General features: G+C 38.9%; 1 protein-coding gene across 10 annotated transcripts in view; it reads left to right on the top strand.

The window, feature by feature from the left end:
• Window positions 1-12,585: 12,585 nt before the first annotated feature.
• GSDMC (gasdermin C) overlaps window positions 12,586-14,932 on the top strand; it is an 81,190-nt gene continuing 78,843 nt past the window's right edge. For all 10 annotated transcript variants that reach the window (XR_928340.3, XR_928339.3, XR_928341.3 and 7 more), the window contains exon 1: window positions 12,586-13,199. The gene's annotated coding sequence lies outside the window, so the exon portion shown is untranslated. The remainder of the gene's footprint in view (window positions 13,200-14,932) is intronic.

The following is a 14,932-nucleotide window of genomic DNA, read 5'->3' as shown; positions in this document are numbered from 1 at the left end:
GTATCTGGTGGAAGAAATTTTGAAGCTGCAAAGTGTTCAAGATGTGGCCTGGCTGCAACTAATAGCATTTGCTTATATGTGTGAGCAAATAGATGATCTGAAACTGGAAGTTATATTTAAAAGGAAGCAGAGCATAAAAGTTTGGAAAATTTGCAGCCTAACCATGTGGCAGAAAAGAAAAACCCATTTTCAGGGGAGGTGTTCAAGCTGGCTGCAGAAGTTTGCACAAGTAAAGAGGAGCAGGAATGTTAGTAGCCAAGATAATGGAGAAAAGGCCTGGAAGGTATTTCAGAGACTTCCATGGCAGCCCCTCCCATTACAGGCCTGGAGGCCTAGAAAATAAGAATGGTTTCATGGGTCAGGACCAGGGTTCTGCTGCTCTGCACAAACTCAGGATTCTGCTCCCTGTGTCCCAACTGTTCCAGCTCCAGCCTTAGCTAAAATGATCCCAGATATGTCTCAGGCCACTGCTCCAAAGGGTTCAAGCTGTAAGCCTTAGCAGCTTCCATGTGGTGTTAAGTCTACAGGTGTGCAGAAGGCAATAGTTAAGGCTTGGGAGACTCCACCTAGATTTCAGAGGAGGTGTGGAAGTGCCTGAATGTCCAGGCAGAAGTCTGCTGCAGGGGTGGAGCCCTCATGGAGAACCTCTATTACAGGAGTGCAGAAGGGAAATGTGGGATTGAAGCCCTCACACAGAGTCCCCACTGGGGCACTGCCTAGTGGACCTGTGAGGAGAGGACGACCATCCTCCAGAACCCAGAATGGTAGATCCACTGACCGCTTGCACTGTGCACCTGGAAAAGCAGCAGGCACTGCACTCAATGCCATGAAAGCAGCCATGGGAGCTGTACCGTGCAGAGCCACAGGGGCAGAGCTGCCCAAGGCCTTGGGAGCCCACCCCTTGCATCAGTGTGGCTTGAATTACAGACATGGAGTCAAAGGAGATTCTTTTGGAGCTTTAAGATTTAATGACTGCCCTGCTGGGTTTTGGTCTTGCATGGGGGCCTTTAGCCTCTTTGTTCTGGTCAATTTCTACCTTTTGTAATGGGAGTATTTAGCCAATGCCTGCACCCCCATTTTATCTTGGAAGTAAATAACCTGCTTTTTATTTCATTGGCTCATAGGTGGAAGGGATTTGCCTTGTCTCGGATGAGACTTTGGACTATGGACTTCTGAGTTAATGGTGAAATGAGTTAAGACTTGGGGGATTGTTGAGAAGGGAGGATTGTATTTTGCAATGTGAGAAGGATATGAGATTTGGGAGGCATCAAGGACAGAATGATATGGTTTGGATTTGTGTCCCTGCCCAAATCTCATGTCTAATTGTTATTCCCAGCATTGGAGGAGGGGCCTTGTGGGAGGTAATTGGGTCATGGGGGTAGATTTTCCCCTTGCTGTTCTCATGTTAGTGAGTGAGTTATGAGATTTGGTTGTTTATAAGTGTGTGGCACCTCCCCCTTCTCTCTCTTCCCACTGCTCTGGCCATGTAAGACTTTATCTCACAAGGGTCCTTGGGGAGGGCTGCCAGTGGAATTGTGGAAGAACCACAGGGTAAAGGAAACTTCCAGCTGAACTTTGTAATAATTTTGGCTGAACATGAATTTTCCAGGGTAAAATCCGGGGGTGGGGAGCAAACAGGAAGTGCAGATTTGAGCACAGAAGCCATGGCATGTGGGTAGGGGTGAAGCCTGAAAGCCCTACTTGCTTTCTCAGCAGGAAGGCTTGTAGCCTGGGGCAAGAACTCAGCCCTGCACACTGACTGCCTGGATATAAACCTGGTGATTTGTTGGGGCATGGTAAGAGTGAGACTGGCCTTGCTGGCTGCATGAGAGCTGGCTGAGGCCCATCATGGCTGGGTTTCCCCCACTTCCCTGGTGGCTTGTATGATGCAGCAGAGGCAGCCATAATCCCCCTGGGAACATAACCTCATTGGCCTGAGAACCACCAACCCCACAGTGGCTGCAGCAAGTCCTGCCCAAGGAGAGTCTGAACTCAGACATGCTTAACCCCGCCCCCAACTGATGGTCTTTCTCTACCTGCCCTGGGAGCCAAAGACAAAAGATATAATCTCTTGGAAGCTCTATGGCTCTACTCATTCAATGAGAAACCCGAATACTTATCCAGACAGGCTTGTATCCCTGCTATACTACCACAGTTGATGCTCTTTTAAAAGCACCACCTCCCTGCTGGTGGTCAAGCAACTCAAGCCTTTAGAGCAACTCATAAAAGAAAACTGCTGCTCCAAGAAAGGAGAAAACAACACCTAATTCCACTGCCTGCAACATCCTGGATAACCACACGTCCTGAGTCTGTCCATGTGACAGCTTCACTTCTAGCACAACTGCCATTTGAGAAAACCAGCACACTAAAAAAACTATGACCAAGGACCCTCACAGAGTTCACTTCACACCCCTGTTACCTCCACCAGAGCAGGTGCTGGTACCCATGGCTGAGAGACCTAAAGACAAATCACATCCCAGTATTCTTTGTGCACACTCCCCAGTACCAGCCCAGAGCCTGGTAGCTCCATTAGGTGGCTAGACCCAGAAGAGCAATAACAATCACTGCAGTCTGGCTCTTAAGAAGCCCCATCCCTAGGGGAAGAAGGAGAGCACCAAATCAAAGTATCACTCTATGGGACAAAAGAATCTGAACAGCAGCCCTTGAGCCTCAGATCTTTCCTCTGATATAGTCCTAGAAAAACAGTTCTAGTAATATGACAAAACAAGGATCTTTACCACCACCAAAAGGTCACATGAGCTCATCAGCAATGAATCCAAACCAAGAAGATATCTCCGAATTGCCAGAAAAGAAATTCAGAAGGTTGATTGTTAAGCTGCTCAAGGAGGCACCAGAGAAAGGTGAAAGCCAACTTAAAGAAATTAAAAAGGCCAAGCATGGTGGCACACATGTGCATTCCCAACACTCTGGGAGGCCGAGGTGGGTGGAGCACCTGAGATCAGGAGTTTGCAACCAGCCTAACATGGTGAAACCCTGTCTCTACTTAATACAAAAAATTTAGCTGGGCGTGGTGGCTTGTGCATGTAATTTGAGCTACTTGGGAGGCTGAGACAGGAGAATTGCTTGTACCTGGGGGACAGAAATTGCAGTGAGTCGAGATTATGCCATTGCACTCCAGCCTGGGCAAAAAGAGTGAAACTCCAAAACTCCATCTCAAAAAAAAAAAAAAAAAAAAAAGAAATTAAAAAGTTTTACAGGGTATGGATTAAAAAACTCCAGAGAACTAGATAGCATAAAAAAGAAGCACGACTTCTGGAAATGAAAAACACACTTAGAAAAATGCAAAATACACTGGAAAGTTTCAACAATAGAATCAAACAAGTAGAAGGAAGAACTTCAGAGCTTGAAGACAAGGCTTTCAAATGAACCCAATTCAATAAAGACAAAGAAAAAAGAATAAAAAAAAAAGAACAAAGCCTCCAAGAAGTTTAGGATTACGTTAAGTGACCAAACCTAAGAATAATTGGTGTTCCTGAGGAAGAAGAAAAATCTAAAAGTTTGGGAAACTTATTTGAGGGAATAATTGAAAAAACTTCTCTGGCCTTTCTAGAGATCTAGACATCTAAATACAACAAGCTCAAAGAACACCCAGGAAATTCATTGCAAAAAGATCATCACCTAGGCACCTATTCTTCAGGTTATCTAAAATCAAGATGAAAGAAAGAAACTTAAAAGCTGTGAGGCAAAAGCATCAGGTTACCTATAAAGGAAAGCCTATCAGATTAACAGCAGATTTCTCAGCAGAAACCCTACAAGCTAGAATGGATTGGGGTCCTATCTTCAGCCTCCTTAAACAAAACAATTATCAGCCAAGAGTTTCTTTTTTTTCCCTTTTCTTTTCTTTTTTTTTTTTTTTTGAGACAGAGTCTCACTCTGTTGCCCAGATTGGAATGCAGTGGTGTGATCTTGGCTCACTGCAACTGCCACCTCCTGGGTTCAAGCGATTCTCCTGCCTCAGCCTCCCGAGTAGCTGGGATTACAGGCACGCACCATCATGCTTAGCTAATTTTTGTATTTTTAGTAGAGATGGGGTTTTGCCATGTTGGCCAGGCTGGTCTCAAGCTCTTGACCTCAGGTGATCCTCCTGCCTCAGCCTCCCAAAGTGCTGGGATTACAGGGGTGAGCCACGTACCTGGCCCAGCCAAGAGTTTTATATTCCATGAAACTAAGCTTCATAAATGAAGGAAAGATAGTCTTTTCCAGACAAACAAATGCTGAGAGAACTCACCACTACCAAGCCAGCACTATAAGAACAGCTAAAAGCAGCCCTAAATCTTGAAACAAATCCTCCAAATATACCGAAATAGAACCTCCTTAAAGCATAAATCTCATAGGACCTATAAAACAATAACACAATGAAGAAAAGAGGTATTCAGTCAAAAACTAGCATGAGGAATAGAACAGTACCTCACATCTCAATACTAACGTTGAATATAAATGGACTAAATGCTTCACTTAAAAACTACGGAATGGCAGATAGATAAGAATTCACCAACCAAATATCTGCTGTCTTCAACCTAACACATAAGGACTCACCTAACACATAAGGACTCACATAAACTCAAGGTAAAGGGGTGGAAAAAGATATTCCATGCAAATGAACAGCAAAAGCAAGCAGGAGTAGCTATTCTTATATCAGACAAAACAAACTTTAAAGCAATAGCAGTTAAAAAAGACAAAGAGGGACATTATATAATGATAAAAGAACTAGTCCAACAGGAAGTTATCACAGTCTTAAATATATATGCATCTAACACTGGAGCTTCCAAATATATAAAACAATTACCACTAGACCTAAGAAATGAGATAGACAGCAATACAATAATAGTGGGGGACTTCAATACTCCACTGACAGCACTAGACAGGTCATCAAGACAGAAAGTCAACAAAGAAACAATGGACTTAAACTATACCCTAGAACAAATGGACTTTACAGATATTTACAGAACATTTTAGCCAACACTGCAGAATATACATTCTATTCATCAACACATGGAACATTCTCCAAGATAGACCCTGTGATAGGCCACAAAACAAGTCTCAATACATTTAAGAAAAATCAAAATTATATCAAGTACTTGAGTACTTGCTCAGACCACAGGGGAATAAAATTGGAAATCCGCTCCAAAAGGAACCCTCAAAACCATGCAAATGCATGAAAATTAAATAATTCTAAACAAATTAATATAGAAGGGTGGGAGGGGGTGTGGAGCCAAAGAGTACACATTGGGTACAGTGTACACTGCTCAGGTGTCAAGAGACTCAACACATAAGGACTCACGTAAACTTAAGGTAAAGTGGTCAAAAAAGATATTCAATGTAAATGAACAGCAAAAGCAAGCAGAAGTAGCTATTCTTATATTAGACAAAACAAACTTTAAAGCAACAGCAGTTGCTTTTGGGTGCACCAAAATTTCAGAAATCACTACTAAATTTCAGAAACCACCACTAAAGAATTTATTCATGTAACCAAACACCACCTGTTCCCCAAAAACTATGGAAATAAAAAAAAAAACAAACTCAAAGGGATATCAGAGAACTTCCCAGATCTAGGAAGGGTAACAATATTCATGTACAAGAAAGTTATATAAAACTTAGCAGATTTAATCCAAAAAAGAGTACCTTAAGTCATCTCATAATCAAACTCCCAAAGGTCAAGTATAAAGAAAGCAAAGCTAAAGCAGCAAGAGAAAAGAAAAGAAAACAAAACAAAACAAAAAAACATACAATGGCGCTCCAATACATCTGGCAGCAGACTTTTCACTGGAAACCTTACGGGCCAGTAGAGAGTGACATGACATATTAAAAGTGCTGAAGGAAAAAACTTTCACCCTAGAATAGTATATCCAGCAAAAATATCCTTCAAGGATGAAGGAGAAATGAAAACTTTCCCAGACAAACAAAAGCTGAGGGATTTCATCAACACCAGACCTGTCCTACAAGAAAAATTAAAGAGAGTTCTTCAATCTAAAAGAAAAAGATGTTAATGAGCAAGAAGAAATTATCTGAAGGTACAAAACTCAATGGTAATATTAAGTACACATAAAAACACAGAATATTATAACTGTAATTGTGGTGTGTAAACTATTCATATCTTAAGTAGGAAAACAAAAGATGAACTGATTAAAAATTACTACAACTTTTCAAGATAGAGTACAATAGGACATAAACAGACACAAAAAAGTTAAAAAGTGGGGAGACAAAGTTAAAGTGTATAGTTTTTATTAGTTTTATTTTTGCTTGTTTATGCAATCAGTGTTGTCATCAGTTTAAAATAATGGGTTGTTAGATAGTATTTGGAAGCCTCAGGGTAACTTCAAATCTAAAAACATACAATGGATATTCAAAAAAAAAAAAAAAAAAGCAAGAAACTAAAACATACTACCAGAGAAAATCACCTTCACTAAAAATAAGAGAGGAAGGAAGGAAAGAAGGAACAGAATTTCACAAAACAAGCAGAAAACAAATAACAAAATGGCATGAGTAAGTCTTTATTTATCACTAATAACACTGAGTGTAAATGGTCTAAACTCCTCAGTGAGAAGATGTAGATTAGCTGAATGGATTAAAAAACCAAACAACAGCAACAAAAAGGCTGGGCATGGTGGCTTACACCTGTAATCCAAGCACTTTGGGAGGCTGAGGTGGGTGGATCACTTGAGGTCAGGAGTTTGAGGCTAGCCTGGCCAACATGGTGAAACCCTGTCTCTACTACAAATACAAAAATTAGCCGGGTGTGGTGGTGCAAGCCTGTAATCCCAGCTACTTGGGAGGCTGAGGTAGGAAAATCACTTGAACCCAGGAGGTGGAGGTTGCAGTGAGCTGAGATCACACCACTGCACTCCAGCCTGGGCAACAGAGTGAGACTCTGTCTCAAAACAACAACAACAACAACAACAACAACAACAACAACAACAACAACAAAAAACAAACAAAAAACCCCCAAAAAACAAAAAACCAAGCACCAATGATCTGTTGCCTTCAGGAAACACAATTCACCTATAAAGACACACCTAGAGGGAAAATAAAGGATGGAAAAAGATATACCATGTCAATGGAAACCAAAAAAGAGCAGGAATAGCTATCCTATATCAGACAAAATAGATTTCAAGACACATACTATATCAAGAGACAAATAAGGCCAGCATACAATGACAAAGGGGTCAGTTCACCAGGGAGATAAAACAATTCCAAATATATATGCACTCAACATGGGAGTACCCTGATATGTAAAGGAAATATTAGCAGCAAAGAGAGAGTTAGACCCTAGTACAATAACAGCTGGAGACTTCAACCCACGACTTTTAGTATTGGACAGATTTCCTAGACAGAAACCCAAGAAAGAAACATTGGACTTCATCTGCAATATAGAACAAATGAACCTAATAGGTATTTACAGAATACCTATCATTCAGTGGCTGCAGAATACACATTTTTCTCCTCATCAAATGGCTCATTCTCAAGAAAAGACCATATGTTAGGTCACAAAACAAGTTGTAAACCATTAAAAGAAGTTGAAATAATATGAAGTATCTTCTCTGACCACAATGGAATAGAACTAGAAATCCATAACAAGAAGAATTTTGGAAACTATACAAACCCATGGAAATTAAACAATGTGCTCCTGAATGACTAGTGAGTCAATAAAGAGATTAAGAAGGAAATTGAAAATTTTTTTGAAACGAATGATAATGGAAACACAATATACCCAAATCTATAGGATATGGTAAAAGAAGTAATAAGGGAAAAATGTATAGCTATAAGGGCCTACATCAAAAAAGAAGTGAAACTTTAGATAAACTACCTAATGATACATCTTAAAGAACTAGAAAAGCTAGAGTAAACCCAACCCAAAATTAGTAGAAGAAATGAAATATTAAAGATCAAATTGGAAAGAAATTATATTGAAAAGAAGAAAACAACACAAAAGATTAAAAAATGAAAAGTCTTTTTTTAAGAAGATAAAATTGACCCATTTCCTATTATTATAATTAATATTTTTTGAGATGGAGTCTTGCTCTGTTGCCCAGGCTGAAGTGCAGTGGTGTGATCTTGGCTCACTGCAACCTCTGCCTCCTAGGTTCAAGCAATTGTCCTACCTCAGCCTCCTGAGTAGCTGGGATTACAGGTACATGCTACCACACCTGGCTAATTTTTGTATTTTTAGTGGAGAGGGGGTTTCACCATGTTGGCCAGGCTGGTCTCAAACTCCTGACCTCAAGTGATCTGCCAGTCTTGGCCTCCCAAAGTGCTGGGACTACAGGTGTGAGCCACCACACCTGCCAAAATTGACCCATTTTTACCCAGACTAACTAAAAAAAGAGAGAGAAGACCCAAATAAATGAAATCGGAGATAAAAAATGAGACATTACAGCTGATACCACAGAAATTCAAAGGATCATTAGAGGCTACTATGAGCAACTATATGCCAATAAGTTGGAAAACCTAGAGGCAATTGATACATTCCTAGACACATACAACCTAGCAAGATTGAACCAGGAAGAAACCCAAAACTTGAGTAGGCCAATAATAAGTAATGTGATCAAAGCTATAATAAAAAGTCTCTCAGCAACAAAAGCCCAGGACCCATCAACTTCCCTCCTGATTTTTTTTTCAAATTAATATTAATTCTTTCAAACTATTTCAAAAAATAGAGGAGGTGGGAATATGTCGAAACCTATTCTATGAGGCCAGTAATACCCTGATACCAAAATCAGACAAAGATTCATCAAAAAAAAAAAAAAAAACTACAAGCCAACAGCTTTGATGAATATTGATGGAAACATCAACAAAACATGAGCAAACTGAATTCAATAACACCTTAAAAAGATCATTCATCAAGACCAAGTGGGATTTATCCTAGGGATGTAAGGATGGTTCAACGTACACAAATCAATCAATGTGATACATCATATCAATAGAATAAAGGACAAAAACCACATAATCATTTCAATTGGTATTGAAAAACCATTTGAATAAATAAGTTCAATATCCCTTCATGATAAAAATTCTAAAAAACTGGATGTAGAAGAAATGTACTTCAACACAATAAAAGCCATATACTACAGACTCATACCTAGTATTATACTGAATGGGGAAAAACTGAAAGCCTTTTCTCTAAGATCAAGAACACAAGAAGGATGTACACTTTTACCACTGTTATTCAACATACTACTGGAACTCCTAGCTAGAGCAATTAGACAAGAGAAAAAAGTAAAGGGCAACCAAATTGGAAAGGAAAAGTCAAATTATCCTTGTTTGTGGATGATGTGGTCTTATATATGGAAAAACCTAAAGATTCCAACATAAAACACTATTAGAAGTGATAAATAAATTAAAGTTGCCAGATAAAAAATCAACATCCAAAAATCAGTAGCACTTCTATATGCCAACAGAGAAGAATCTGAAAAAGAAATCAAGAAAGTAATCCCATTTACAAGAGCTACAAATGAAATTAAATTCTTAGGAATTAATTTAACTGAAGAAGTGAAAAATCTCTTCAATGAAAACTATAAAACATTGATGAAAGAAACTGAAGAGGACACAAAAAATGGAAAGATATTCCATGTTCATAGATTGGAAGAATCAATATTGTTAAAATGTCTATACTACCCAAAGCAATCTTCAGATTCTATACAATCTCTATCAAACTACCAATGACATCCTTCACAGAAAGAGAAAAATCAATCCTAAAATTTATATGGAAACACAAAAGGCCCAGAATAACCAAAACTATCCTGAACAAAAAGAACACAACTCAAGGAATCACATTACTTGACTTCAAATTATACTACAGAGCTATAGTAACCAAAAGAGCATGGTATAGTCATAAAAACAGACACATAGACCAATGAAAAAAGAATAGAGAACCCAGAAACAAATCCATACACCTACAGTGAACTCATTTTTTACAAAGGTGCCAAGACTATACATTGGGGAAAAGACAGTCTCTTCAATAAATGGTGTTGCAAAAACTAGATATCCACACGTAGAAGACTGAAACTAGACCCTTATCTCTCACTATATACAAGAACTAAATTAAAATAGATTAAATAATTGAATCTAAGGACTCAAATTATGAAACTACTACAATAAAACATTGGGGAAACTCTCCAGGACATTGGAATGGGCAAACATTTCTTGAGTAATACCCCACAAGCACAGGCAGCCAAAACAAAAATGGACAAATGCAACCATATCAAAGTAAAAAGCTTCCTTCCAGCAAAGAACAATCAACAACAGAAGAAGAAAACCCAAAGAATGGGAGAAAATATTTGCAAACTAAGCATCTGACAAAGGATTTGTAAGCAGAACACACAAGGAGCTCAAACAATTATACAGGAAAAAATCTAATAAACTAATTAAAATATGGGCAAAAGTTCTAAATAGACATTTCTTGAAAGACGACATACAAATGGCAAACACGCATATGAAAATGTGCTCGACATTATTGATCATCAGAGAAACACCATTCAAAACTACAATGAGATATCATCTCACATCTGTTAAAATGGATTTTACCCAAAAGACAGGCAATAACAGGCTGGAGAGGATGTGGAGAAAAGGGGACCCTTGGACACTGTTTGTGGGAATGTAAATTAGTACAACTACTATGGAGAACAGTTTGGGCCTTCCTCAGAAAAACTGAAAATAGAACTATCGTATGATCCAGCAAACCCACTGTTAAGTATATACCTCCAAAATAGGAAATCAATATATTGAAGAGATATCTGCACTCCCATGTTTATTGCAGTTCCACTCACAATAGCCAAGATTTAGAAGCAATCCAAGTGTCCATCAACAAATGAATGAATAAAAAAAATGGTACGTATACATAATGGAGTACTATTCAGCCATAAAAAGAATGAGATCCTGTCATTTGCAACAACATAGATGGAACTGGAGGTCATTATGTTAAGTGAAATAAGCCAAGCACAGAAAGACAAACTTTACATGTTCTCTCTTATTTGTGAAAGCTAAAAATTAAAACAACTGAACTTACGGAGATAGAGAATAGAATGATGGTTACCAGACGCTAGGAAGGGTAGTGGGGTGGGTGTGCAGGGGTAGGGGGAATGGTTAATGAGTACAAAAAGATTTAGAAGGAATAAGATCTAATGTCTGATAGCACAATATATTATTGACTATAGTCAATAATAATTTAATTGTACATTTAAAAATAACTAAAAGAGTATAATATTTTAACACAAAAAATAAATATCTGAGATGATAGATACCTCATTTACCCTGGTGTGATTATTATACATTGTATGCCTGTATTAAAATATCCCATATATCCCATAAATAAATATATACATCTATGTACCCATAAAAATTAAAGACAAAACAAAACTAAAAACTACAGCTTTGCACAAAGGCTATTGCAACCTTAAACAAAAAATACTTCTGCCAGGACATCTGTCCACCAACTGCCTGTCTAACCTTGGACTGGTGCCACCTTTGTTACTGATCCTTGTAAGCAAAGAATTGATTCAAAACAATTGTGTAATCCTTCTTATTTTTCTTTTTAAAACTTTTTTCTTCCCTTACCTGTCTGAATACACACATAGTTTGTGATGGCACGCATATTCCCATTGCAATGCTCATTCTTGAATAAATATCACTGTCTTTTAGAGAGCTTTTCTTTATCTGTTATTTAGGTTGGTGTGACTCACATAACTGTTCCCAAACAGCTAAGTTACTTTTCTCCGACTTCTGGAATACCCAATAGCAGGTTGGGGCCTATAGAATGTTGGTACACAGAAGGGTTATGTATGTAATTATAATTTTATATTTCAAGTCTATAGTTTTTACAATGGAAATTATAGAACGTGAAAGTTAATTTGGAACATCGTGTCTGGTGGTGATATGCAGAAAGCACAGTCTGAGCTTTGTCCCAAGTGAAGTGCATATCAGGTTCTTACAGTGGAAAGGGAAGGCATAAGACTTTTATGAATATTAAAAGAAAACAAAAGTAAAGTAAATGCATTGTGAAATACTGTCAGCTGAAAGGAATGTTGCTGTATTGAGTGTCAGTTCCAGGAAGTTACTCAAAACTTAAAGGTGTAGCAATCCTGTTTATACAGTTTCTGCTCCTATAGGCACTTTACTTCATCTTGAAACCCATAGGGAGTAATTGGAAAGGACATGGGTTTCAGGCAAGTTTTTAATTCCTTTCACAAATCCCCTTTTTATTTATATTTAAAATAAAGATTGTTGTAAGATTGGATTTAGATAATACATGCATGGTGCTTAACACAGAGGAGGCATTAAGCACAGTAATTCCTGTTGTACAGAGCCCCACATGTAGGCAGTTCAGAGGTGCTTCCCAGGGCCCTGGCGCTAGTGCCTGTCCCTCCTGCTGAAGTTGCCTTTCCTGGTGTCCAGTGATTGAATTCTAAATTCAGCACATATACCAGAGGAATACGAGCCAAAGAAGTTGTTCCAGCTAGAGTTGCTGGGAATCCATGAATCAAAGACTTGCTCAGCTAGTTCTGTATGTGAAAGGAAATGGGTGTGACTCTGAGGAAGCCTTTTTAATTCTGATTCAGGAGATACATAATTAGATGCCACTTGATTTTGTTCCACAGACTTTTTGCTGAGGACTTGAGAGCTAAGGTTCTGTGATCCAGAACTAGTTCCAGACTTACTCTTCTGGAAATGAACAGGGCCCTCCTGTGCTTATTTTTCCAGGATACTGCATTGGAAATTGAGTCAGGGACCCATTGGTGAGAAGAGAACAGTGAACAGAATCACATTGATCTGGTCCTGGAGTTTGTCTGACAATTTCTACTTGACCGCAGGAGGTCTGAAGATTGGAAGGGGCCCTACTCAATTGTGCTATTTTTCTCTCTTTTTTTTTTTTTTGAGACGGAGTTGCCCAGGCTGGAGTGCAGCGGCATGGTCTCAGCTCACTGCAACCTCTGCCTCCCGGGTTCAAGCAGTTCTCTGCCTCAGCCTCCCAAGTAGCTGGGATTACAGGTGCCTGCCACCATTCCTGGCTAATTTTTGTATTTTCAGTAGAGACAGGGTTTCACCATCTTGGCCTGGCTGATCTTGAACTCCTGACCTCGTGATCCACCGGCCTCAGCCTCCCAAAGTGCTGGGATTACAGACGTGAGCCACCGTGCCCGGCCAATCCTGCTATTTCTCTACAGGACAAAGGGATATATAATCTGGTAAGTCCTAATGGGATCAGGGGATGAAAAAGAAAAGATTACTATCATCAGCGACAAAAATGTTCTGGATGGGTTTGTGAAATGAGTCGAAGAGTTTTTTTTCCTACAGAATTTGACTGAAAAGGAAGTTAAGTTCGTCTTAATAATGGAGAATTCCTGATAGCATGTAAGGCTAAGGAATATATCTTCGATACATTATTGCACAGGTCCAGTCTTAAAGAAGCATCTTATATTCTCATTATTCTCTGCTTGTCCAGTGACCTCTTACATGGCCCATATCAGAGAATTGAAATGGTCACATCAGGAATTTTACATGAACTGTTGAAAATTCTGTCTCTCTTCATTATTGAACATATTTAGAAAGTTCAAAAACTGAATTCCATGTAGTTAGGAAGTCCTATTCCTATTTGTTATAATTGTAACAATACAATTATACTCTTAATTGTAACAATACAATTATACTGTTTTAGTTATTTCTAACTGTACAATTATTGACTATAGTCACCCTGTTGTGCTATCGAATACTAGATCTTATTCAGAAATACTAGATCTTATTCAGTCTAACTATTTTTTTTGTGCTCATTTACCATCCCCACCTCCCTCCCACCCCCTAATATCTTTCCCAGCCTCTGGTAACCATCATTTTACTCTATCTCCATAACTTCAATTGTCTTAATTTTTAGCTTTCATAAATAAGTGAGAACATTGTAAAGTTTGTCTTTCTGTGCCTGGCTTATTTCACTTAATGACCTCTAGTCCCCTCTATGTTGTTGCGAATGACAGGATCTCATTTTTTTTTGACACGGAGTTTTGCTCTTGTTGCCCAGGCTGGAGTGCAACAGTGCAATCTCGACTCACTGCAACCTCCGCCTCCTGGGTTCAAGTGATTCTCCTGCCTCAGCCTCCCAAGTAGCTGGGATTACAGTCATGCGCTACCATGCCTGGCTAATTTTGTATTTTTAGTAGAGCGGGGTTTCTCCATGTTGGTCAGGCTGGTCTTGAACTCCTGACCTCAGTTGATCCACCCGCCTCAGCCTCCCAAAGTGCTGGGATTACAGGCATGAGCCACCGCACCCAGCCAATCTCATTCTTTTTTATGGCTGAGTAGTACTCTGTTATGTATATGTACCACATTTTGTTTACCTGTTCATTTGTTGATGGACACTTGCATTGCTTCCCAATCTTGGCTATTGTGAACAGTGCTGCAACAAACATGGGAGTGAAGATATCTCTTCAATATACTGGTTTTCTTTCTTTTGGGTGTACACCCAGCAGAGAGGTTGCTGGGTTGTATGGCAGCTCTATTTTTAGCTTTTTGAGGAAGGTCCAAACTGTTCTCCATAGTGGCTGTACTAATTTACATTCCCACAAACAGGGTACAAGTTTCCCTTTTCTCTACCTTCTCTCCAGCATTTTTTATTACTTGTCTTTTAGATATAAGCCATTTTAACAGGGGTGAGATGATATCTCATTGTAGTTTTGATTTACATTTTTCTGATAACTAATAATGTTGAGGACCTTTTCATATGCCTTTTTTTCATTTGTATGTATTCCTCTGAGAAATGTTTATTCAACTCTTTTGCCCATATTTTAATCTGATTATTAGATTTTTTTCCTATAGAGTTGTGTGGGCTCCTTATATTTTCTGGTTATTATTCCCTTATCAGATGGGAAGTTTGCAAATATTTTCTCCCATTCTGTGGGTTCTCTTTTTCTGTTGTTGATCTTTTCCT

Source organism: Homo sapiens, chromosome 8 (genome assembly GCF_000001405.40).
Source record: "Homo sapiens chromosome 8, GRCh38.p14 Primary Assembly".
Lineage (NCBI taxonomy): Eukaryota > Metazoa > Chordata > Mammalia > Primates > Hominidae > Homo > Homo sapiens.
This window is presented reverse-complemented; position numbering and strand designations above follow the sequence as displayed.